At 43.5% G+C, this 25,329-nt stretch overlaps 1 pseudogene, besides 3 other annotated features; it reads left to right on the top strand.

The window, feature by feature from the left end:
• Positions 856–1,426: an enhancer, noted in NCBI's record as "NANOG-H3K4me1 hESC enhancer chr11:115837993-115838563 (GRCh37/hg19 assembly coordinates)". NCBI's record gives its function as "activates a minimal SCP1, AML or CMV promoter by ChIP-STARR-seq in naive H9 embryonic stem cells {active_cell/tissue: H9 hESC(naive)}" and the evidence as "EXISTENCE:reporter gene assay evidence [ECO:0000049][PMID:30033119]".
• Positions 15,797–16,296: an enhancer, noted in NCBI's record as "H3K4me1 hESC enhancer chr11:115823123-115823622 (GRCh37/hg19 assembly coordinates)". NCBI's record gives its function as "activates a minimal SCP1, AML or CMV promoter by ChIP-STARR-seq in naive H9 embryonic stem cells {active_cell/tissue: H9 hESC(naive)}" and the evidence as "EXISTENCE:reporter gene assay evidence [ECO:0000049][PMID:30033119]".
• Positions 16,297–16,798: an enhancer, noted in NCBI's record as "H3K4me1 hESC enhancer chr11:115822621-115823122 (GRCh37/hg19 assembly coordinates)". NCBI's record gives its function as "activates a minimal SCP1, AML or CMV promoter by ChIP-STARR-seq in naive and primed H9 embryonic stem cells {active_cell/tissue: H9 hESC(naive and primed)}" and the evidence as "EXISTENCE:reporter gene assay evidence [ECO:0000049][PMID:30033119]".
• On the top strand, positions 17,869–18,816 carry RPL15P15 (ribosomal protein L15 pseudogene 15; annotated as a pseudogene).

Here is a 25,329-nt window from a genome sequence, read left to right as displayed (position 1 = left end):
TTCCCTTTGTGGGTAACCCGACCTTTCTCTCTGGCTGCCCTTAACATTTTTTCCTTCATTTCAACTTTGGTGAATCTGACAATTATGTGTCTTGGAGTTGCTCTTCTCAAGGAGTATCTTTGTGGCGTTCTTTGTATTTCCTGAATTTGAATGTTGGTCTGCCTTGCTAGATTGGGAAGTTCTCCTGGATAATATCCTGCAGAGTGTTTTCCAACTTGGTTCCATTCACCCTGTCACTTTCAGGTACACCAATCAGATGTAGATTTGGTCTTTTCACATAGTCCCATATTTCTTGGAGGCTTTGTTCATTTCTTTTTATTCTTTCTTCTCTAAACTTCTCTTCTCGCTTCATTTCATTCCTTTTGTCTTCCATCCCTGATACCCTTTCTTCCAGTTGATTGCATCGGCTACTAAGGCTTCTGCATTCCTCATGTAGCTCTCGTGCCTTGGTTTTCAGCTCCATCAGGTCCTTTAAGGACTTCTCTGCATTGGTTATTCCAGTTAGCCATTTGTCTAATTTTTTTTCAAAGCTTTTAACTTCTTTGCCATTGGTTTGAATTTCCTCCTTTAGCTCGGAGTAGTTTGATCATCTGAATCCTTCTTCTCTCAACTCGTCAAAGTCATTCTCTGTCCAGCTTTGTTCTATTGCTGGTGAGGAGCTGCATTCCTTTGGAGGAGGAGAGGCACTCTGATTTTTAGAGTTTCCAGTTTTTCTGCTCTGTTTTTTTCCCATCTTTGTGGTTTTATCTACCTTTGGTCTTTGATGATGGTGATGTACAGATGGGTTTTTGGTGTGGATGTCCTTTCTGTTTGTTAGTTTTCCTTCTAACAGTCAGGACCCTCAGCTGCAGGTCTGTTGGAGTTTGCTAGAGGTCCACTCCAGACCCTGTTTGCCTGGGTACCAGCAGCGGTGGCTGCAGAACAGCGGATATTGGTGAACCGCAAATGCTGCTGCCTGATCGTTCCTCTGGAAGTTTTGTCTCAGAGGAGTACCTGGCCGTGTGAGGTGTCAGTCTGTCCCTACTGGGGGGTGCCTCCCAGTTAGGCTACTCGGGGGTAAGGGACCCACTTGAGGAGGCAGTCTGCCCGTTCTCAGATCTCAAGCTGCGTGCTGGGAGAACCACTGCTCTCTTCAAAGCTGTCAGAGAGGGACATTTAAGTCTTTAGAGGTTACTGCTGTCTTTTTGTTTGTCTGTGCCCTGCCCCCAGAGGTGGAGCCTACAGAGGGAGGCAGGCCTCCTTGAGCTGAGGTGGGCTCCACCCAGTTAGAGCTTCCCAGCGGCTTTGTTTACCTAATCAAACAACTAACTGGACAGTGGCGGGCGCCCCTCCCCCAGCCTTGTTGCCGCCTTGCAGTTTGATCTCAGACTGCTGTGCTGGCAATGAGTGAGACTCGGTGGGCGTAGGACCCTCCAGCCAGGTGCAGGAGATAATCTCCTGGTGTGCCGTTTTTTAAGCTGGTTGGAAAAACGCAGTATTAGGGTGGGAGTGATCTGATTTTCCAGGTGCCGTCTGTCACCCCTTTCTTTGACTAGGAAAGGGAATTCCCTGACCCCTTGCACTTCCCGGGTGAGGTGATGCCTCGCCCTGCTTCGGCTCGCACATGGTGCACTGCACCCACTGTCCTGCACCTACTGTCTGGCACTCCCCAGTGAGATGAACCTGGTACCTCAGTTGGAAATGCAGAAATAACCCGTTTTCTGCGTGGCTCACGCTGGGAGCTGTAGACCGGAGCTGTTCCTATTCGGTCATCTTGGCTCCTCCCCCTCGCTCATCAGCTTTAATACAGCTCATTAGTGTATTTTTTGTGTGTGGCCCAAGATAATTCTTCTTCTTCCAATGTGGCCTAGAGAAGCCAAAATATTGGACACCCCTATTAATATAACTTATTTTGTTCATACCCATACACATCTAAAGGAGTGATAAAGAAGGGCTTTTGTTTCCTGAAATTACATTCAGAAGACAATATCACTTTTAAGTTTTCAGACTTTTTATATCTGTTTTGTGTAATGTACCAAAGGTGTCTATCAGTAAGTATTATTAGTCCCACTTTATAGATGAGTAAACTGAGATCCAGGACACCCAGTGACCTATTCAGTTATTCAGTGAGTTCAGGGCCAAACTGGAGCTGAAGTTCAGTCTCTCTCTTTCACCCAGCTTCCCTCACACAGCCCACCCTTCAGCAGCACCCCCATCTGCTGAGCTCCCTATTTGGACCTGCAGAAATCTTCCGACCCCAGGGCCCAGCTTTAAGCATTGGGGAACTGAGGGTAAACGAGAGAGTGACTTTCCCATGGCGTGTAACTTGTCGACCAATTTGAAGAGCATTTTCTTGGCCAGTGCTCTAATCCCAATGCTTGAGTAATGCCCTGAGACCACATCGACCGGGATCTGGGAAATTCCGACCTGACCGCAGCTCATTGTAATGGCCTCTGCCTAGGTGACCTTCTCCCTGTCAGAAAATACATCTTTTCTGCAAGTCCCTGGCCTGCAAATATCACTGACAGCCAGCTTAGCCCAGACAAAGGGCTTTGAAATGGTCCAGATAATGCATCGAGGGGAAAACTGTTTTCCAAGTGTGTAATTCGTCCACTATTAACCTGCAGCTGTGGAGATGGCCCTGCCTTTGATTCCCTTCTTAAACCAGGGCCACTCCTGTCATGTCATGTGACGCATGCTGCATGGCAGTAGACAGGGAGCAGAGGCTTGTCATATTTCCTGAATGCTAATGACCCCCTGGCCAGCTGGCTGACACTCTGCTGGCTGCCTGGCTGCACTTCAGGCCTAACCCACCATGGAACTTGTCTGCTACTTGGTTCTACCACGGAAGTTGTCCTGGTATTTGGCTGAGTGGCATGAGAGGGAGCTGGCAGCCTCTGCCATCTGGAGGAGTGTGTTAAGGATAGGGCTTGACACAAACACGAGGTCCTAACTTAGATACTCCGGGCTCCAGTTCTACCTACTGACACTGGGAAGCTGTGTGCCTTTGGGAAAAGCACTTTCCCTTTCTGGCTTCACTTGTATTGGCTACAAAATAAAAGCAATGAACAAAGTCATTGGACTTATATTTCCTAGATTCTGTTTTTATTTCCAGATGATTTTGTTTTGGATTAAGTGATGGGTACAATTTAAAAAGGAAAAAGAGGAGGAAGAGAAAGGGGGAGATGAATGCAGAAGGCCTGGGATAAATGATCCTAAGCACCAAAATATGTGTGCATGGGGTGAAAAAAGAGAACATTTTCACCATTATCCTTTTTTTCTTTTTCTTTTCATTATTATCCTGGTCTCAGAAAGTTTTCTGACCTCCCCCTGAGCTAAGCTTGGCCTTGGGTTTGAGGAATCAGGCCTGAATAAAGAGGGCCTATGGTACTGGTGAGTGTTCACCAGGTGAGAGTGGCCTGAGAGGCACGACAATGAGGCAAGGGGACAGAGAACAGGTGCAGAGTTGTGGCAAAGGTGTGGCACCACCGAATGAACAAGGCTGCTAGGGGAGGCTAGGAGGCAGCATCAGTGACATTTTCCAAAGTAGTGGGAGGTGAAGGATGAAGTCCTTTATAGCAGGGTCCCCAGTCTGTGGCCTGTTAGGAACCAGGCCGCACAGCAGGAGATGAGTGGTGAGCAAGCATTACTGCCTGAGCTCTGCCTCCTGTCAGATTCTCATAGGAGCACAAATTCCATTGTGAACTGTGCATGTGAGGGATCTAGGTTACACACTCCTTATGAGAACCTAACTAATGCCTGATGATCTGAGGTGAAACAGTTTCACCCCAAAACCACCCCCTGCCACCTGGATCCATGGAAAAATTGTCTTCCACTGGTTTGTCTCAGACTGACAAACCAGCCCCCGATGCCTAAAAGGTCGGGGATCACTGCTTTAGAGGGTGTCTTCAGAAGGGGAAATGGGGTAGGGAAGGAGCTATGATGAATATTCAGCCAATTAAATAATGGTAGTTTCAAAGGAGTGATTCTCAACCACTGACAAATGTGCAACATTAGCCCACTAATGTCTAGTGTAGGACTGAGGGTCTGCTTAATATGATAATCCAAGAAATAATGAAACATGGGGGAAAGTCTGCTTTATTAATTTTCCAGGCCCCAAATAAAAGATGAAAATCAGGGAAGCAAAATTACACTTACATCCCCAAAGGAGTGTGCCTCCCCAAAGCTTGGGTTTGTGAAACCCCAAAGCTTGGGTTTTCAGCTGGTAATGACTCCATCTGTAGAGCTTCTAAAAAATACAATGTCTAAGGCTCATGACCTAATGAATCAGAGACAAGGCCTTCCTGGGCATGGACCATAGTTAGCACTGCCTGTTGAGTAAGGGGAACGGGATGCCACCCACTCACTTCTAAAACAATAGCGAGGACAACTATGGGACATGAAACAGCTGCTTAAGAACTGTGCTCAATCAGGCCAGCTGTTTGTTCTACTAAATGTTAAATATTTGTTGAATAAATATTGCAAGACTAGACTGTGAGTTCCACTAGATTCTGCAATCTTTTAGTGCAGGGACCATGCCTAAGTCATCCTTGTGTCCCTAGTGCCTGGCACACAGTAAATGCCCAATGCATGTTTGTTGAGCATGTAAATAAAGGAGTAAATGAATACATGAATGTAGAATGAGAACTCCTGTTGGAATAGAAAGAGCCCGAGCTTTGACACTGGAAGCCTTCATTCCAATCCTGGTTTTGTAGCATTTTAGCACAGCATCTTTGGGCAAGTTGCTTCACCCATTTGAGCCTCAGTTTCCACATCAGAAAAAAACATGGGGACAATACAGTGTGCTTCATGTGGCTAAATGAGTTAATTTATATGAACAGGCATATGTAAGAGTTCAAAGTACTGGATTCAATTAATGTGAATGGGACAGAGTTCCATCTGGGGCTCTGGTGCGAGACACCGGCTCTACTTCCCTGAAGCAGGAGGCCTCTACTTCCCCATCAGCTCCTAGTCTTTTCAGACCCCAGAGCCCAGAGAGATGCAGGAGAGATCAGGGACAGTAGCTGTGAAATAACCTCCCTCCAGTACATCAAAATCCTCACATAGGACCAGACTGACACTGTTTTAATTTTAAGTGACCTTGATAAAAATGGCTCATTTTCCTTTAAATTCATCATCAGACAAAATTGCCTTTTCCCAGAAGCCATACACCACAAGTTTGGGTTGACATGATATATCAATGTAGCAAGACAACATAATTTAAAGGAGCCCTGTGGCTTTTACATTTGAGGCTGACTGTTTTCCAGCATTTGAGCCAATGCTCGGAGAACAGCTGGGGGATTAGGTACTAACGAAAAGGAAATGATTTGAAATATCCATGCTACGCTCCCTGCAAATCAGAGTGCCTGTGACTTGGCAAGCTTCATCTTTCCTCCCCACCCCTGCCACCCCCATTGAAATGTGTCTCCATACGGGGCTGTCTGCAGAGCTGCTCTGAGATGTTTACAGCTCTCTCGCTCTTGGCTTCCTTGTACGTTTGTGTGATGAAGGTTTGGCTTTGTTGTATCAAGCAAAATCACAGAGCTGGATGTTTCCCTTGTCTGTCTGAGAAATACTGCAAATATTATATTAGGTTGTGCCTTTGCGCCCGATCGTTTATCTCGCCTATAGTTGTACCTTTTGGGGACTATCCTGGGTAGTGGAGACAGAGCGAGGGAAGCAGAGGAGGCTGCAGCGTGTCACCCGGACAAGCCCCCACCTCCGGGCAGAGATGCCTCTGAATTGTTTTAAGTAGAGTCGTCTGGCTTCTGGGGACTTTCTCCAGTGATCAGCTAGATCTACTTGTCCAATCCAGATTAAATCCCCTGAATCAGCCAAAAGGCTTCCTCTCAGCCAAATCGATTCTCCCCATTTTTGTTTTTTAAAGTCCCTGGACTTCTCTTCTTTGGTATACTCAATCCCAATATCAGTTTTCTTCTTAACTGGACTTCCCCTTGAGACAATTAGAATGAAAAAAACAAAACGAAACAAAACTGTTGTTTTCTCCCAAATTTCTCAGGGTCACATCGGCTAAGAACAACCTATCTCAGAAGGAAGGTACCTTTCATTCTCCGAGGCTGGTACAAATAATATACAGATAAATAATAAAGATGTTCATGCTGTTAACCTTCATAACCTGCTGGAGTAGGGTTAGGAACTGAGACAAAGACTGCCTGATTAGGACTTGATTCTCGATGATGAGACTGAGCTAAAGCAGGAAGGAAAAATATTCATTCAACAAGCATTTTGAAGCTTCCAGACATTGTGGATCAGTATTGCCTCTGCATCTTCCTCAGTTCTTCATCTCTCCCCATTCTTCTAGTGTCCAGAACAACAGACATGACAACTAAGCAGGTAGACTTAGATCTTTTCCAGAAGACTGGGGAGGGGAAGTTGTGAAGACTTACACTTTTTTGGTTGTCGCCCTTATTGCAACTGCTTCTCTAACTAGAGTACTTGTACCCCTGGGGGCATGCAGTGGCAAACTAGGCAGTTTAAAGGTATAGAATAAACAAGTTATATCTTCCTGGGGCATTGATTTTATTTGAAGATTTGGGGTTAAAACATTTTTATATTAAAACAAACATATGTATTATGGAATAGAATGCAGAATTCACGTGAATTCCTGAGATAAAACATAAGACTTCAAAGAGATGTGCTGTGGTGGGGCTGCTTCAGGCGCTGCCCCCAGCCTCCCTGGAGGACACTCTCAGGCTCCTCTGCCAGAGGGAACTTTGCTGGGTGGAGACGTTTGAAAAGCTCTGGTATATCCCACCTCCAAGAATGGCCCAGCTTGCAGGCAGAGCAGTGCAGGGTGTCTCCTGAGCTCTGAAACTCATATAGATCATTGTGGGGAGCCCAGAAACCAGGGAATAAACTAGAATAGGGTGTTCTTAATAGCAGAAAGGCCTGGCAGGCTGCCGCAGGACAGCTCCAAGAACTTGCTCCATGTTCGAAGAGGACTAAAATAGCCAATTTCTCCCAGTCATGGGGATGCATCACCTGGGGGCCTGTCATTTCCTTGGAAGAAGTGGAATGGATTATGGTTATCAGGAAAGAAGCAACTAACTCACTTTTATTGCAGGGAAACTTAGTCTCCAGCTGCTCCCAGGGGACAAACGAATTCATACGCACACCTACACACAGAGGCTCCACACACCTACCTGCTGTCCTCAGAGCCAGCTGGAGAGGGGAAAGAGAGCAAATGTGATTAATGGGGCCACCCCAGGGGACTTGCTGGATGGCAAGCAAACCTGCAGGTACCACGGAGCCAATTTCAGTAACAGGTTTAAGGGATCCCTGAGACAGAAGGAAATGCAGCTGACTCAGCCATTCCGGCCTCCTCTAAGTCCAGAGGGAGCCTTGGGAGGAAAGGAGCTGGAGATTGCTGCAGAGATCGGTGCCAGGGGAAGCTTAACACTCACACCTCCGTTGCAGCGGCAGGGCTGATGGAGGAGATGCAGGCATTGCTAAGGGATGAAGGAACTTATTCCATGCATAGAGGTAACTCTGGTCTCTGTCTTGGCCAGTGTCAAAACGAAACATGATACTAAATATTCCTACAGTGCTTTATAATTTTCAGAGTATTTTCATGAATATTATCTTCTTCATTTTTATAGTAATTTTGTGAAGAGGATAAAAGAGGTTTGGAAAGCTTATTAAGTTTTTTTTTTCTTTTTCTGTTTGTTTGTTTTGGCAGGAGGTCATAGAGTCAGGGCTGGAAACATGGACTTGGCCTTGAGGCCAGTGTCCTGTCTCCACTCTTCCATGTCATTACCAGATGCGATGGATTTCTTGGCAGTCAGTGTTGCCAAACATTAAAACCAGGGACCAAGGAGAAGGTGCAGGAGAGAAGGTTCTCTGAAGCTATGAAGAGAATGGCCAGGACCTCCTTCTGTGCTTCCCTCCTTGCTACCTGTGTGGTCTTAGACAAGTTCCTTAACCTCTCTGAGCTTTTGCAAAATAAGGATGACATACATATATCACAAGGATTACTAAAATAGCTTACGTTACATGTTTGGCATGATGTCCAGCACACACTAAGTTATCAATGAAGATGAGTTGTTATTATCACCATTTTTCTTTTTGAAAATAGAAAAGAAATTTTCATTAGCTTAGAGAGGAACCAGAAAATCTCTCCAGCCCCTGGTATGTCAGAGATTTTTCAAAAGACACTATTAATCCAAAGAAGGCAGCAGGAAAAATCTAAACCCCAGAATAATTTGTGAATAAAATCATATTTGAACTAGCAACTGTTTACCAAAAAAACTTTATATTTACACACACACACACGCACACACACACACGCACACACACACACACATACAGAGTTGACCCTTGAACAATAAGGGCTTGAGCTGTGAGCTGTGTGGGCCCACTTATACATGGATTTTCTTCTGTCTTAGCTACCCTGAGACAGCAAGACAAACGCCTCCTCTTCCTCCTCCTCCTCAGCCTACTCAACATGAAGACATTGAAGATGAAGACCTTTATGATGATCCACTTCCACTTAATGAATAGTAAATACATTTTCTCTTCATTATGATTTTCTTAATAGCATTCTTTCTTTAGCTTACTTTATTGTAAGAATACAGTATATAATACACACACAAAATATGTGCTAACTGACTATGTTATTGGGAAGGCATTCAATCAAGAATAGGCTTTTCGTAGTTAAGTTCCGTGAGAGTTAAAAGTTATATGTGGATTTTTGATGGCATATGGAGTTGGTGCCCCAACCTCCGTATTGTTCAATGGTCAACTCTATATATACAAAATATATACATACATATTAAAAACATGTTGGAGCTATCTTCTCCGCAGTGCACATTGTGGGCTCCCAATCACTACAGCTGAACGACAGTGGGGAAGGGAGAGCTTCAGAGAATCTTCTTGTGTCTCTTGCACAAAATAAGCAGGCAGACTCCAGGGAACTGTGGGGAGGACAGCACCAGCTGGAGGAGGGGGGTCGGGCCTTCAGCCCACCCCTGTCTGGTTGTGGCCTCTTCCGGAGCTCACTTGGCAAAGGTCTATATTGTTTAACTCCAGGACTGCAGCAGGAGTGAACAAGATCCTGTTTGTGACCTTGTACCCCTACTCACGGGGAGGGCCCCCATCTCCGGATGCCCTTTGAAACCTTTGAGAATCATAGTATGTAGGAGACTCACACTGGAACTGGGAACCGACTTCTTTTACAAAGAAAGAAGCAGAGGCTCAGAGAGGCAAGGCAATCTGCCCCGGAGCCACACAGCAATTTCTCATCTTTACCCGACTGTCTGGCATCCATGTGGGCTTCCTGAGGCACTGTCCACAGCTACGGAAAATCACTGCAAGCTGCAGGCGCGGAGCAGGGGGTCGAGCCACATCTGCTGCGCGGTGTCTCCCCGGCTCCAGGCTGAACGCCAGCCGCGGGAAAAGCGTGTCTTCCGAGGCTCCCCGAGTCCTTGACCAGGACTCAGGCACAATGCAAACAGGAGAACAATAGGGAGTGTGTGAGGGAGCCCAGCCGGACAGGGTATTGATCATGTTTAAAAAAAGAAACACACACCGAGGAGCACAGAAAAACCTTACCAACGCACCAGCTGGCTTAGCTAATTAGCGCGGGTGAGCCGTGTCAGCCGCCAGCTCGGAGCCAGGAAGAAAATAATTCGCTCAACAAACAGAACATCTAAGGAGGAACAAAAATAAAACAGCCACTGTCCCCACACCTCTGGAGAATCTGTGCCGTCCAGGGAAGGGGGATGTGATGGGGTGGAGGTGGCGCTGAGAGTGGGATGGAAGTGGGAAGTCAGGAAGAAGGTGGGGAAAATATAAGCTCGGGGCCAGGGGAAGGGCCAAGGCGGCACCCAGCACTGAGCAAGGTATCATGGTGCCAGGCCTGAGCTGCCCGGCCCCGCCACCGAAGGAACTGTGTCGACTCTCGAAGCAGGGGCTCCGAGCCCGCCTCTGTTTTGGGGGTTCTTTAGCACCAGGCACTAAGATTCCTCTTCTGGGGAGTTTACTTACCATGGAGGAAGCAAGGGGGCAGTGCTTGGGCAGAGCCTGCAGGCCTGAGCCCGGGAAGGAGGCCTCACCCACAGCAGGCGAGGCACCGGGAGGTTGTTTGGTCTGTCGCAGATGAGAGGATGTCCAGGAAGTCCCTCAATTTGAATTCGTGTAGCCAGTGCTGAATGCCCATACATGGGCCTGGCCTACAGGCTTCTGCCTGTGAGAGCTGTGGCCCCATGGACTACACCTCCCAGAGGACAAGACTGGTGCATGCTGCCCAGGGAGGGGAGGGACATCGGACAATTTCGGCTCCTCAAATGAGGTGATTCAGGTTATTTGGGTTCCAAGCTACCAAATAGTGCAAAGAGAACAGAGGAAAGGCATGATAGAAGGAAAAGAGGGAAGAAAGGAGGGAAGGAGGAAAGGAAAGAAGGAGGGAGGGAGGGAAGGAGAGACGGAAGGAGGGAAAGAAGTAGGGAAAGAAGGAAGGAAGCAAGGAAAGAGGGAAGGAAGGAAGTAGGGAGAGAGGAAGGAGGAAGGGAAGGAGGAAAGAAAGGAGGGAAAGAAGGGACGGAAGCAAGGAGGGAATGAAAGAAGGAAACAGGGAGGGAGGGAGAGAGAGGGAGGGAGGGAGAGAGAGGAAGGGAGGGAGGAAGTGACTTCTTTGCATCATCTATTATACCTCAGTGATCTTCACAGTACCCAGTGGGATTAATATAATCATTCCATTTCCAAAGACAAAGAAATGGGGCACAAATAGGTCACACAGGGAGTAAATAAATGGTGCAGGTGGATTTGACGTAGCAGAATGCCCAAACTCAGGGACTCCTGACTATTCTGTTGGACTCTGCAGACAGGGTGGGTGTAAATGAAGTGAGCGACATTTGTACCCCTACAAAGGGCTGTGCACCCCCCTCTCTGTCAATGCCCCCTCTTCCCTGCTGCTTGGGCTCCATTGCTTTTTTTTTTTTTTTTCCCACACAGACCAGGAGCCCTCTGATCAGAAAGAAGCCTCACTCGTGAGGTTAATTATCTCTCTATTTCAGGATACTCCCAGGAGGCAATGTGATAGAGTGGAAAGAGTGTTGGGACCAGATTCAAGAGACTGTGCTTGAGCCCAGCTGTCTTACTCCCTACTTATGTGATATTTAATAAGTCACCCCATCCCTGTGGACCTCAGTTTCATCATCTATACAATGGGAGTTAACTCACAAATTTTCTGTGAAGATCATCTGTGACATTATATATACCAAAATATCAAGTCCTTTTAAAACCATAAAGTACAAGTGTTATTAGGAAGTATCACATTAAAAGAGAATCCCAGAGAGTTCAACATGTTTTTCTCTTCGTATGTTTAAAATTACACAGTGGATAGATCTCTAGTAATGCCATATCCAACATCAGAGCACAAGGATCAGGGGGAAATATTAGGGGTCTAAGGCCTTCCCTGGCTTATCAAATCACATTGCCTGGTAATACCCCCCTTTTCTTTCTCCCATGAAGAAGAGGTCCTGAGCATGGGCTATGAATTAGGAGGTCACTTTGTGGAATCTTTTTCTTTAAGTATGGACTTGATCATGTTTGTAAATGTACATGTGAACGTGCCCACATTCATTTCCATCCATTTTTTGCTTTTATGTCTCAGTCAATAGTTTTTGGCAATGCCTTTGCAACACCATGAACTGCAGACAGGAAATAAGACCCATCCATTTGTGCTGGTACAAGCTAAAGATTTTCTATAAAGTGCCCACATTTCCAGGCTGGGGGAATGGATTTCACTGCAGGAAAAAAAATATTGTGAGGTGAGAGAAGTGCAGCAAAGGAAAATATTGGCCACTTTAATGATTTACAGAAGCATAAAAAACCTCCTTGCCTGCTGATATTTCATATTTCCCCTTCTGCCAGTAAGGGGGCTGGGGTATGGGGTCTGATTTGAGCTATTCTATGAGGAAGCACGAGAAAGCCCGGGCTGGCCCCTTCCGGAAGACTCTGTCACCTCCAATGAGGCACTGTCTGACCCAAGGAAAAAGAACTGGCAGTGGGGTTGGGGTTGGGGGAAGGGGTGGAAGCAGGAATAAAGGTGGACACACCTCTCATGTGGGACTACCCGTTCTGGAGCCCTGGAAGGCTCTAAGAAAGGCTGCTTCCCCATTTACAGATGAGACAACTAAGAGAAGACCAGAGATTTGAAGCGACTTTCCAAAGATCATCTTTCTAGTATGTAGACAAACTGGAACCAGAACGCAGGCCTTCCAGCTGCCAGCCTCAAATCCTTTCTACTATATCCGCTGTTAATATTGTTAGCATTATTGTTGGTATAATTACCATAACAAAAGGACCCTTGAGCACTTTCTATGTGCCAGGAACTGTACTAACAACTTTACATACATCATCATATTTAATTTTCATACTGCTCTACAACATATGTGTTATGATTCCCACTGTAGATGAGAAAACTGGGGCTCAAAGAGGTTAAATGACTTACTAAGATCATTGATTTGAACCCAAATCTGTCTGACTTCAGAATCCATGCCAAAGCCACTTTCCAGTGAGTATTTCTAAAGAGCAGAAAATGTAGGGACATAGAGTAAGAAATGCTACTTCTCAGAGAAGCTGCTCAAACTCACCAACAAAGAAACCCAGTCAAAAACAACTGGCTTGAGCAGTTCAGAGGATGGGGCTTCAGAGCAAAGCCCAGGATGGTTGGATGTAGATGGTAAACAAATGCGAAGCAGCCCCTTTCTTGTACAGTTGTGGTAATTTGAATGGCTTGCAGCAGTGAGTAGTGGGAATTGAGCTATTAATAAAAGGAGCCGGCAGAATGATTTACAATCAGACATTAATATGGAGATTTTCATAAACACAATAATTCACACCCAAGCAGAGTCATAAATGTAAAGTTGCATTAACTATTCTAGTTGGCATGGAATGTCACCCGCAGTGTGAAATTGAACATTCCATTGTACCATAATAATGGACTAATGGAAAAACTTTTCTTAGGGAGAAGGAGGAGGGGAAGGGTGGGGAACTGGGAGACCAGATATTTTCTGTTTCCACCTTGCTTATTCCTAGAAGTCACTATCACAAAGCTCTGCCCTTGCCTTATACTTTTTAAAAAATACACTTTCCATCTTGCAATCATTTTAGATTTCCATAAAAGTTACAAAGATAGTAAGTAGAGAGAGTATATCTTTCATCCAGTTTGCTCTTTGTTAACATCTTACATACCCATGAAATATTTGTCAAAACTAAAAATTAACATTGGCACAATACTGTCAACTCCAGATTTTATTTGAATTGCATCAGTTTTTCCATTATTGATCATTTTTTTTTCTGTTTAAGGATCCCATCTAGGGTGCCCCGTGGCACCTAGTCATCATGTCTCCTTAGTCGCTGGTCTGTGACAGGTTCTCTGTCTTTCCTTGTTTTTCATGACCTTGGCAGTTTTGAAGGATACTGGTCAGTTATGTTGTGGAATGTCCTTCAATTTGAGTATGTCTGATGTTTTTCTCCTGTTTAAACTGGGGTTATGGGCTTGGAGAAAGCCTACCACCGGGCTGAATTGCCCTTCTCATCACATCATATCAGGGGGTGCATTATATCCATGTGACTTACCACTGCTGCTGTTGACCTTCATCACTTGGTTGAAGTAGATAGTGTTTATCAAGTTTCTAAACTGTAAAGTCACTGTTTTTTTGCCCTTTCTGTGTTCTTTCCTGTGGAAGCCAGTCACTAACTCCAACTTATATTGGGTGGGGAGTAGAAAGGAAGGCAGGATTGAGCTCTACTGCATGAGGGGAAGATAGACACATATATTATTTGCCCTCTACTTTTAAAAAATTAATTTTAGATTGATCTGTAAATTTTACTATAAAATGTCCTGTCTTTTAAAGCAGATTATTTTGAACATAATTTGACTTGTTCTAGATCACCGCCTGCCATAAGTAAACTCAAATTCCCCAAACTCTGTGACCTTTTCTCAGTTCTGATCCTCTGTGATCTCTCTGCAGAATTTGACATTGTTGGCCAATCTTTCTCATGGAAAAAAACTCCCCCTACTGCCCCTGCCATTCATTAGTCTCCTCTGCTTTCTTGTCTTCCTTCGTAACTTACTGCCTATCCATATCTATCTCTGTTTCCATCTCGATCTCTGTTCCTTTTCTTCCTCCCTCCACCTACCATATGCACTGTCTGGGTTCTCTGTGGTCCTCTCGCACCAATGTTTGCCTTAGCAATCCTTCTCCTTTCTCACCAGTGTTTCCCTTAGCAATCTCATTCATTAGATGGTTTAAATCATCATTATCATCCAGATGACTCTTAGATGGACATCTCCACCTCAGCCTATCTCTATGGCTATAGTGCCTCTATCCAAACTCTCTCCTGGCCACCTCCACATTCTGCTATGCCATAAATGCATCATCTCTCTATTAGTTAGCGTACTGTTACAGCTGCTTTAACGTAAGCCGAAATAACATGGTCTCAACAATACACAAGGTTTATTTCTCTCTTGTGTGAAAATCTGAGCTGGTAGAGGTCTGAGGGCTATGGGAGTGGGAATAGCTCTGCTAGGGTCCATGCTATCCCAATACCACTGCTTTGGATGTTGCCTTTGCCTGCGTGGTGGAATCTGAATCCTGCATGCCACTTTCCTGTACAGACCTTCAGGAACTGGAAAGAAGAATGAAAAACAAGTAGCCTCCCCCCTCCTTTTTTTTTTTTAAGGAAACAACCTAGAAGTGGTACACATCACTCTGTTCACATCTCATTGATGAAAACTTAATCACATAGCAATACCCAGTTACAAGGGAGCCTGAAAAATAAAGTCTCTAGCTGGGTGGCCAACTATACAACATAGAAGGGAATGAATATTGGGACAATTGACAGTCTCTGAAACCACCATTTTGCTCTATTTCCTGACTCCTGTAACTCCTTTCTTGACCCACTTCTCCTCTAGTCTTCTTAATATGTGCTACTATATTGTTAATATTTATGAATTCTCATTCTAGTAATCATAATTGCAAACTTAGGTATCTTTGATAGCTCCCCTTATTTCACTGTAACAACTTCCCACATGTTTAAGATTTCCGCTCCCTTCTTACTAACCCTACACCAATTCAGACCTTCATTGCCTCTCATCTGAGGTCTTATGATAATTTTTTCTTTATTTTTTTTCATCAGCCAATGGGCAAAGGAAGAAGTCTTATGATAATTTTATAAATAGTCTTCATGCTTTTAGTCCCTCATTACTCTAAAGCATCTTTAATATGGCTGCTGATTAATCTTAGTCAACACAGCTCAACTCCTCAATCCCATGCATAAGTCCTCAGCGGCTTCCTATCACCAACTCCATAAAGTTCAAGTTTCTTACCCTAGCCCTAAGCCTTGAGAGACTCTCTGGTCCACCTTCACTCTCTCTATTTGGTTCTGCATTATATGCATTCTCCCTTCCATGACAATTCCTGACCTAATCTCCCCTCCCTGTTACTTCATCATCATAATTGAATAACAGCTAACAGGTATTGATTGCTTACTTTGAGCCAAACACAGTTATATACATTACTTCATTAAATACTTGCAACAGGAGTGACATCAGCAAGATGGTGGAATAGGACTTTCTGGTGCTCATCCTCTCACAGAAACAGTCTTTAGAAACTGGTCTAGTTTGAATAGCTATACATGCATGATACCTTCACAGAGCGAAGGAAAGCAGGTGAGAGATTGCAGCACCTGGGTGCAGCACAGAGATTTTTAAAAGACACACTTGAGAGGGCAGGAAGGATAGTTTCACATTACCTGCATCAACTCCATCTCCAACTTCAGGCAGCACAGAGAGATGCTCTCTGCTTGGGGAAGGAGAGTGAAGCAAGCACATGACTTTGGCTCAGATCCCAATACTGGGCTCACCCCAGTCAAACCAAGCATGAAACAGGTTTCCGTGGCTCTAGATTACAGGCCAGCACCACAGACCAAGCCTCTAGGCCTACTTTTATGCCAGGCCAGCCCCAGCAGCCCCAGGCTGTGGACCAGCTCTCATAGACTCAGCCTTCAGGTTTACCCCAGTGCTGGGCCAGCCCCCAAAGACTCAGGCTCCAGACCTGCCTCAAACTTCAGGTCTGCCCCACTGTCAGGCTGACCCTAGTGGCCCAAGGTTTACATCCCCAGCACCCAGGTCAGCCCCCACAGACCAATACTCCAGGTCAGGGCCCACAGGCCTGGCTTCCAGGACCTCCTCAGGTCCAGGCTGGCCCCTATTGACTCAAGCCCACTGTGTCCCAGGATCAGGTTGGCACTCACAGATTCGGGCTTCAGACTTATCCCCACGGGCTCAGGGTTCAGGTCCATCCCAGCTCCTGGTCGGCCGTGGCAGACTCAGGTTCAAAGCCTGCCCCAGCATCACATCAGCTCCTGTGGACCTAAGCTTCAAATTGGCTCCTGTGGATACAGGTGTTAGGCCCACCCTTATGGACCCAGGCTTCAGGCCAATGACCCAGGCTCCAGGCCCACCCCCAAGCAGACCCAAACTCTAGGGCTGCCCTGGTGGATCTAAGTTCCAGGCTCGTCGCCATGGATTCAGGCACCAGACCTGCCCATCTGCTCACTCAGGCATCAGACCAGCCTGCCTAAGCCTCTAGCAGCAAGCTCACCTACAAATCGTGTCAGATGGCTTGCCTAGAATCTCTGGATGAGCTGACTTGTGAAGGTCTTTTCCTGATGACATCAGTTTCTAAAGACTGGAATAAGTGCCTACATTCTCAAATGTGCAAACACCACTGCATAGCCACAAATATCATGAACAATTGGGTAAACATGACACCACCAAAGAAACAAAATAAAGCACCAGTAACTGACTCTAAAGAATGGAGATTTATAGACTTCCTGACAAAGAATTCAAAATAAGAGTCTTAAAGAAGCCCCATGAGCTATAAGAGAATTCAGAAACAAAATCAGGAAAACAATATACAAACTAAATGAGAGGTTCAACGAAGGGTACAAACCATGAAAAAGGATCAAAGACAAATTCTGGAGCTGCAGAATCCAATGACCGATCTGAAAAATTTTATAGAGAGCTTCAACCACAGATTTGATCAAACAGAAGAAAGAATCAGTGAGCTCAAAGACAAGTCATTTGAAATTGCCCAGAGGAACAAAATGGAAAAGAAAAAGAAAAAGAGTAAAGATAGCCTACAGAAATTTTAGGACACCATCATGTGAACAAATATATGCATGATGAGTATTCATGTGAGGCTTGTCTATCCCTCACAGTACCAAATGATTCCCTGGTTATGATTCTGAAAGCAAGGAATTTAATGCTGACATACATCAGAAGAATATCACTGGTTAGAATGCTGCAGATTACATGTGTTACCTAATGAAAGATGACAAAGCTGCTTATAAGAAACAGTTCTCTCAATACATAAAGAACAACATAACCCCAGACCTGATGGAGGAGTTGTATAAGAAAGCTCTTGCTGCTATGTAAAAGAACCCAGTTTATGAGAAGAAGCCCAATAAATAGGCTAAAAAGAAGAGGTGGAACCATCCCAAAATGTCTCTTGCCCAGAAGAAAAATCAGGGACCTCAAAACAAGGCAGGCTTCCTCAGAGCCCAGGAGTGGGCTGCTGAGAGCTAAGTCAAGTAATTTTCTATGAGGATTTTTCAGATAAATACAATAAACTTACTGACCAGGCAGCAAATAAATAAATAAATAAATATGTAAATAGATTTTCACCAAGTCACATAACCAAACTCCCAAAAGTCAAAAACAAAAGAGAATTTTGAAAGAAGCAAGAGGAAAACAAAAATTACATACAAGAGAACGCTCATAAGACTATCTGTGAATTTCTGAGCAGAAACTGCAGACCAGGAGAAAGTGAGATGATATATTCAAAGTACTAAAGGAGACTTTCTGTCTGGTGCCATCAGGTAAACCAAGATGGGTGCATACAAATACATCCAGGAGCTATGGAAGAGGCAGTCTGATGTCTTGCACTTTCTTCTGAAGGTCGGCTGTTGGCAGTACTGCTGGCTCTCTGCTCTGCACAGGAATCCCCACCCCACCTGGCCTGATAAAGCATGCCAACTGGGCTACAAGGCCAAGCAAAGTTACATTATATATAGGATTTGTATGCGCCATGGTGGCCAAAAATGCCCAGTTCCTAAGGGTGCAACTTATGGCAAGCCTGTCGACCATGATGTTAACCAGCTAGGGTTTGCTTGAAGCCTTCAGTCCACTGCAGAGGAGTAAGCTGGACACCACTGTGGAGCTTTAAGAGTCTTGAATTCTAACTGGGTTGGTGAAGATTCCACGTACAAATTTTTGGAGGTTATCCTAATTGATCCATTCCATAAAGCTATCAGAAGAAATCCTGACACCCAGTGAATCACCAAACCAGTTCGCAAGCACAGGGAGATGCATGGGTTGACATCTGCAGGCTGAAAGAGCCATGGCCTTGGAAAGGGCCATAAATTCCACCACACTCTTGGTGGTTCTCGCTGGGCAACTTGGAGAAGGCACAATACTTTCCAGCTCTACCGTTACCACTAATATAAGTAAAGTTCATAAAATTCCTACATAATAAACAACTTAGGACAGTCATGTCTGTCTACAGGTATTTGTCTTTTAAAACTAGTCTGCAGATTGTTTCATGAATGCTTTGTCAAATTATGAAAGTTAAAGTGCAGTAATGTTTGACAATGACTATAAATGATGCTGTATCTTGTTTCCAATAAGATAAACTTTTTTTGTCTTTGCTCTATCTTAGCTCTATCTTATTAGGAAGTTATATGTCAGTGTTTAAAACATATTGTGTAGTATAATAGGTTTAAAATAAATTCCCTAAAAGAGGAGAAGGAAAAAAAAGTACTAAAGGTAAACAACAACAACAACAGCCAACAAAGAATACTATATCTGGCAAGGTAGTCATTCAGAAATGAAGGAGAGATAAGGACTTTTTCAGACAAACAAAAGCTGTGGGAGTTCATCACCATTAGACCTGTCTTACAAGAAATGCTAAAGAGAATGCTCCAAGCTGAATAAAAAATTAGTGATACAAAAACACATGAAAGTATAAAACTCGGAGGTAAGTCAATTTCATTGTAATCAATAAATCAAGTTTAATAGGAAAAAATCCTCACAATAATCCCATAAGATAAATGATAGTCATAACTGTCGTACAAATGAGGAGCCGAGGCTCTGAAGTGTCAATTAAATTATCCCCAATTTTGTGATTAGAATGTGACAGAGCCAAAGTTTGGTCCCAACTTTGTGTGACTCCAGAGCCTGTGTTTTTAGCTCAAAATGACACCATCTTTCATCCTATGTCTTCTCAGATTATTCCTTTATCAGAAATGCACTTTCTTCTCATCAACTCATGGCAAAATCTTAACCATCTTTCAAGATCTGCCTTGCATGCCTCTTCTTCCAGGAAGACTTCCCTAAAACTCTCAGTTGGAATTTATGCCTCTTTCCTCTAACTCCCATAACCATATGTCTGTGCCTTTCTTTCAACACTTAGCATCTTCTACCTCATACTATAATGCCTTGTAGAGATGTATTAATTTCTCTAGACTCAATCATGAACTCAAGAAAGTGAATACTATTGGGGAGTCTAGGTCATGTTTTTGTCCCTGAAGTGGAGCATTTATTACCTGGCCTCAGCCTTCACATCTAAATATAGTATCAAAAATATTTTTCAAATATAACCCCTCTTCTTCATCCATATTACTGCTTCTCTCCTTCATACCCTCAATATGTCTCTCCTGAACCACTGCAATTGTTCCCTAACTTACGTGCCTAATCCATTTTTAAATTCCTCCTCCATAAGGCTTCCAGAGTAATCAATCCCTATTAGTGGCTTCCTCTGGTCAATGTGATGTCCTCTACACATCTTAACCTGGTATAGAAGACTCTCAGTATTGAGGACCATACCTACCTCTTAAGTATAGCCTGTACTTGTCTTTTTTATGATCTAGAAATATTATCTACACTATGCAAGGTTTCATACTTTCATGCCTTTCTCAGGCTATTCCATCATTCTGAATTGTTTCCCCATCTTTCTTTATCTTCATCAAGACTCATCTTGGGCAAATGACCTTCAAGAAGCATTACCTGAATTCCACTTCCACTTTGGGCTAGCTGCTCTTCTTCTTTTCTCTCATGACATATTAATATCATATCATGCTCAGATGCATATTTTTCTTCACTGTACCATGTTAGTGGAAATTATCTGTGTATGTGTCTGTCTCACTCATCTGTGTGCTCACTTTTTAGGGTTAGGAAACATCCCCAGTTTATCTGTGTCTTCCTTGCACCTAGATTAGTACATATATTGAGTACTCAAACACAGTAGTTTGTTGAATGAACCATAAAAATCAGTTATTGTATTATACCTTAATACAGTGATATCACCAGGGTCTGCTGAAGTTTACATATTGCCTATATTAAATGATTTCATCTTGCTGTTTCCCTGCAGTCTGTTTGCTGTCATGTCACACTGTAGCGAAAATACTTGCCTCTATCAGCTCCTCTTCCAATAGGATTTTATTGAATGTCCTTCTGATACAGGTCCATAGATATAGATCAGAAAATCAACATGGCTACAATAGTATTAGAACAAGACTACAATGATTCTGATGGGATTTCACACGGGCTTCTGTGTCAGTAAATTTTGTGAATTTTATAAATATAGCAGCAACACCTGTTTTGATTGGTTAAATTATTTTGATCCCATTTCTGGTTCTCAGTATGTTCTGGAGAGATGTGGCTCTAGGATTCAGATGACAGACCCAGAGCCAACTGGGATACACCATGCACCATTCTGCTCTTTCTTTGATTATGGTAATTTTACTTTGACCAGGACTATTTTAGGCTTATGCTTTTTGCATTCATGCATTTTATCTCATTTGATCCCCAGAAGATCCCTTTGCAGCTGATCTATTATCTGAATTTTACAGGTAATAGAAGAGACACACAAAGGTTAATGGGCACATCTAAGGTCACACAGTCAGTAAGTAAATGAGTCATGCTGAAAATCAGGTGTCTTCACTCAAAATCCAATGTTCTTTCTTCTATCCCACACTTTGCTCCATATAATTTTTGTGTGAGAAAACTGTATTTGTCTAAACTACTGTTTTTTCAAACTGCAGGTTGAAACTCACTAGTTGGTCATAAAATCAATTTAGTGAGGGCCAAGCAGCATTTGAATAGAATGGGATGGAATGGAACAGAATGCAATAGAATGCAATAGAATAGAATAGAATAGAATAGAATAGAATAGAATAGAATAGAATAGAATAGAACAGAACAGGTGGCGTGTGACACGTCATGACATGTCAGAGTGTAAGTATTGTTTCTTGAAAGTTTTTCTCAGGTCACAATGTAAAATATATTTTTCTTTCTTTCCTTCCTTCCTTCCTTCCTTCCTTCCTTCCTTCCTTCCTTCCTTCCTTCCTTCCTTCTTTCCCCTCCCTCCTTCCCTCCCTCCTTTCTTTTCTTTCCTTTCTTTTCTTTTCTCTCTCTCTCTCTCTTTCTTTCTTTCATGGAGTCTCACTCTATTGCCTAGGCTGGAGTGCAGTGGTGCAATCTCAGTTCACTGCAGCCTCTGCCTCCCAGGTTCAAGCGATTCTCCTCCCTCAGGCTCCTGGGTAGCTGGGACTACAGGCACATGCCACCATGCCTGGCTAAATTTTGTATTATTAGTAGAAACGGGGTTTCACCACATTGGCCAGGCTGGTATCAAACTCCTGACCTCAGGTGATCCACCTGCCTAGGCCTCCCAAAGTGTTGGGATTACAGGTGTGAGCCATCATGTCTGGCCTAAAATATTTTTCTTATATTGGGTCATAGAAAAAAAAAAGCCTCTTTTTTAACCACTTTGTCTAAAACTGAAGTTGCCAAAGTGATCTTATCATTGCCCAAATGCCAGGCATATCTCAGTTCTCATCTTCTTTGATCCTTTGGTGGAATTTGATACTTTCCTCTACTTTCATCATCAAAAAATGCTTGCCTTCCCTGGCCTCTGAGCTCTCCCTTTCTCCTGGTAGTTCCATCTCTCCAACAATCCTCATTCTAGCACCTAAACATTGATATTCCCTAGAGTTCTCCAGGACCCACTTTTCTTCTTGCTCTATCCTCTTGGCATAAAAAAACAGCTTCAACCATTGTCTAAAAACCATTGATCCCTAGATCAATGCATCTAATTGTGAGTCCTCTCCCAAACTCCAGACTCATATTTTTAGCTGTCTACTGAACACCTCCTTCTTGATATCCATGAGTCTCTCAGAGTCAACATGTCCACATGAATTTATTATCATCTCTTCAAATGTCCTCTCCTTCTACGTCAGTGGGGGACATCTTCGTTCGCCCAGCCACCAAAGCTCATAGCCTGGGAGTCCTCCTAGAGTTCTCTCTGTCTCTCCTGTCTTGACATCCAGTTAATGGCCACATCCTGTCAATTCTGCCTCTGCTATACCGCTTGAAATTGTCTGCTCTGCCACTTTCTTAGTTCATAGCCTAATTATCTCTCATTGAACTACTGCCTCCATTATCCCCTCCTCTAGTCAATCTTTCACATTGCTGCCACAATTTCAAAAATGCAAATCTGACCAGGTTGGCTCTCTCTGTAAATCATCACAGAGTTTGTGCCAGTGTGGACTGACAAAGATGCACGCTTCTCAGCATTACCTGCAAGCCCCTTCATTCTTCTCACTCCTGCTTCCTTGCCTCCTCCTCTCCCTTCTCTCTCCTGTCTGCTCAGGTTCTCTTCTGTGCTGCAGTGGACATGCCAGGCTCCTTTGACCCTCCTGATGAATGCACACACTGTTGTCTTCGCCTGAATGCTCCTCTCCTTGCTCACCCTCATCCACCTGCCAACATTTTATTTCAGGTGTAACTCTACTGCTGCCTCCTGGAAGGTTCCTCTTCCTCAGACTTATCTCTTGTGTAGATACTCTAGGGTGCACCCATGGCTTTAGGATATTCCCTAAGTACTTTTTGCCTCTCAGATTACGCTCGATTATAATTGATTATTTGCATTTCAGATTCCACCGCTCTACTGTGAACATCTCAAAAACTAGAATTATGACTCATCCACTTTCCTATGCCCAAGGCACCAGCATATAGTAGGTGTTCAATAATATTTGTAAAATAAATGAAGTCTCAGTTCTGCCATTTACTAGCTATTACTTTGAGCAACTCCCTTAACCTCTTAAGCTTCATTTTCTTCCTCTGTAAGTGGACAGAAACTAATGGTTATCGAGTACTTCTATGCATCGGGCCCTATATTGTATGTCTTTACATATGTTATTTAATTTTCACCACAAACCTCGGAAATAGAAATGATTCCTCATCCTATAGGTAAGAAAAGGGAGAGAAATGAAGCAAATTGTCCATGGTTTGGTAGTCAGAGGCAGAATCTGAACTTAAGTCTGTCTGATTCCACAGCTCTTTCCACTACACCAAGCTGCCAATAAAATGGAGAAGAAGACTATCGACCTCACTGGGATTAAATGTGATAATGTATGTGAAAGCACTTTGTAAACTGTTAAACGCCATCAAAATGTGAGATGATGTTATTGTCATTAAGATCTGCCATGGTCTGCATATCATGGTCAGAATTTTCAGTAACTGATATCGGAAATCATTCAGTTGTAGCTGGCTGCAAGGGCCTATGGGAATCAGACACCTCTCTGGGGCTATTTCCGCAGCATACTTGCTCCCCTGCTTGTAGATGCAAATAAATAGCAATGCAACAGGAGGCCCAGTGGAGCGCAAGGATGCAGCATGCCCAAGGAGAAATGATGATGAGTATGCTTGTCAGTTACAGGTTACAGCACCCTGTGAATGTCCTGGTGACACCATTATGTTTTAGAATCTTCAGGCTGCTTTGTTGTCGCAACATCCCATTTAGAATCTTGGCGTGTGCTGAGGGTCGCGAACTGCACTGCTTTTAGCTGCTGCCACCAGTTTGTGAATCATCCTGTTTACAATCTTTCAGATGCTATCTGGGTGGCGCGCCTGCAGAAAAGCAGTGATATATGGCATTGCCTGCATCAGGGAGGTGACAGGGAACCGCCATGAGAGGCAAGATTCACAGTCAAAACATATTGCATTTAGCTGGCCATTTAAGTCACCCAAGGCCATCAGGTAGGTCCTGACAGGACAGCTGACCAAGGGCATATGATGGTCATGGGCCACCAGAGTTACTTCTCCTATTGAAGGCATGGATGGTGGAAATGAAGCCTTGCATTTTTACTGACCGTGCAAACTGCCTGGGCAGTGGAAGGTTAGCTCCTTAATTTTCTCTTTCATCGTTTGAATGCTACTTAATTCCATGTAACATAATTGGCTTGTTAATGTCTCTTGTTTTTTATTGCTGCAAAGAAACATGCTCTAACCGATCTGGACAAATCATGCACATGTCTGTAATTTAATGTCTGCTGACCCCAGTTGGAGACATTTTTCTTCAAGCATATTTTCCCTGGGTCTAGAAAACCTTTCTTGTGACTTGCGTCCCTCCAACATCCTTTTCCAAACTCAGTTTTCCTCTCAAGTTAATAAACAAACAAAAGCAAGAGAAGACTTTACAATGATTCAATGAAAAAGCTGTGGAGAGAGATTCTCCTGGATATGGAATCAAATTTTGAAAAAGTTTGCCTTATTTCTTAGAAGCTATGAAATGTAATTTCCTCTAATGAGTAACAACTAATTAAAGCCTGTGTGTTAAAGCAAATGCATTCCAATTTTGTCCCTTCAGAGGCAGCCTCCTCTGAATGCTCTCAGCTTTGTCCCAGACATGGTAGCCCGTGTTCAATTTTGGAGTGCAATATGTGGGACTGAATCTGATTTAAACATTGCCAGCTCGCTCTAGAAATTTCCTAATATACTATGAAGTGCTAAGACATTTGCAATAGTCTGACTTCTCTACCGCAAGTAGATAATTAGTCGCCCTTGTTCATCAACAATGTGTTTAGATATCAACTTATTTTAAATTTCTTTGGGGGCAGACACACACATTATATATAATACATATATATACACACATTATATGTACATAGAGACATTATATATTGTATAATGCATATATATAATGTATACATACACACACACACACATATATATATAAAATCCACCATCTTCTGGTGGCAAAAGAGGAAAGGGGGTTAATGTGTGTGTATATATATAATATATATAAATTATATATAGATGTATATGTATATGTTAGGTATATACATTATATACATAAAATGTATATATACATTTTATATATTAACACTGATACGTATATAAAATGTATATACATTATATACACATTAATGTTAATGTGTATACAATTGTGTGTGTGTGTATATATATGTGTGTGTGTG

This window comes from Homo sapiens, chromosome 11 (assembly GCF_000001405.40).
Source record: "Homo sapiens chromosome 11, GRCh38.p14 Primary Assembly".
Classification (NCBI taxonomy): domain Eukaryota; kingdom Metazoa; phylum Chordata; class Mammalia; order Primates; family Hominidae; genus Homo; species Homo sapiens.
This window is presented reverse-complemented; position numbering and strand designations above follow the sequence as displayed.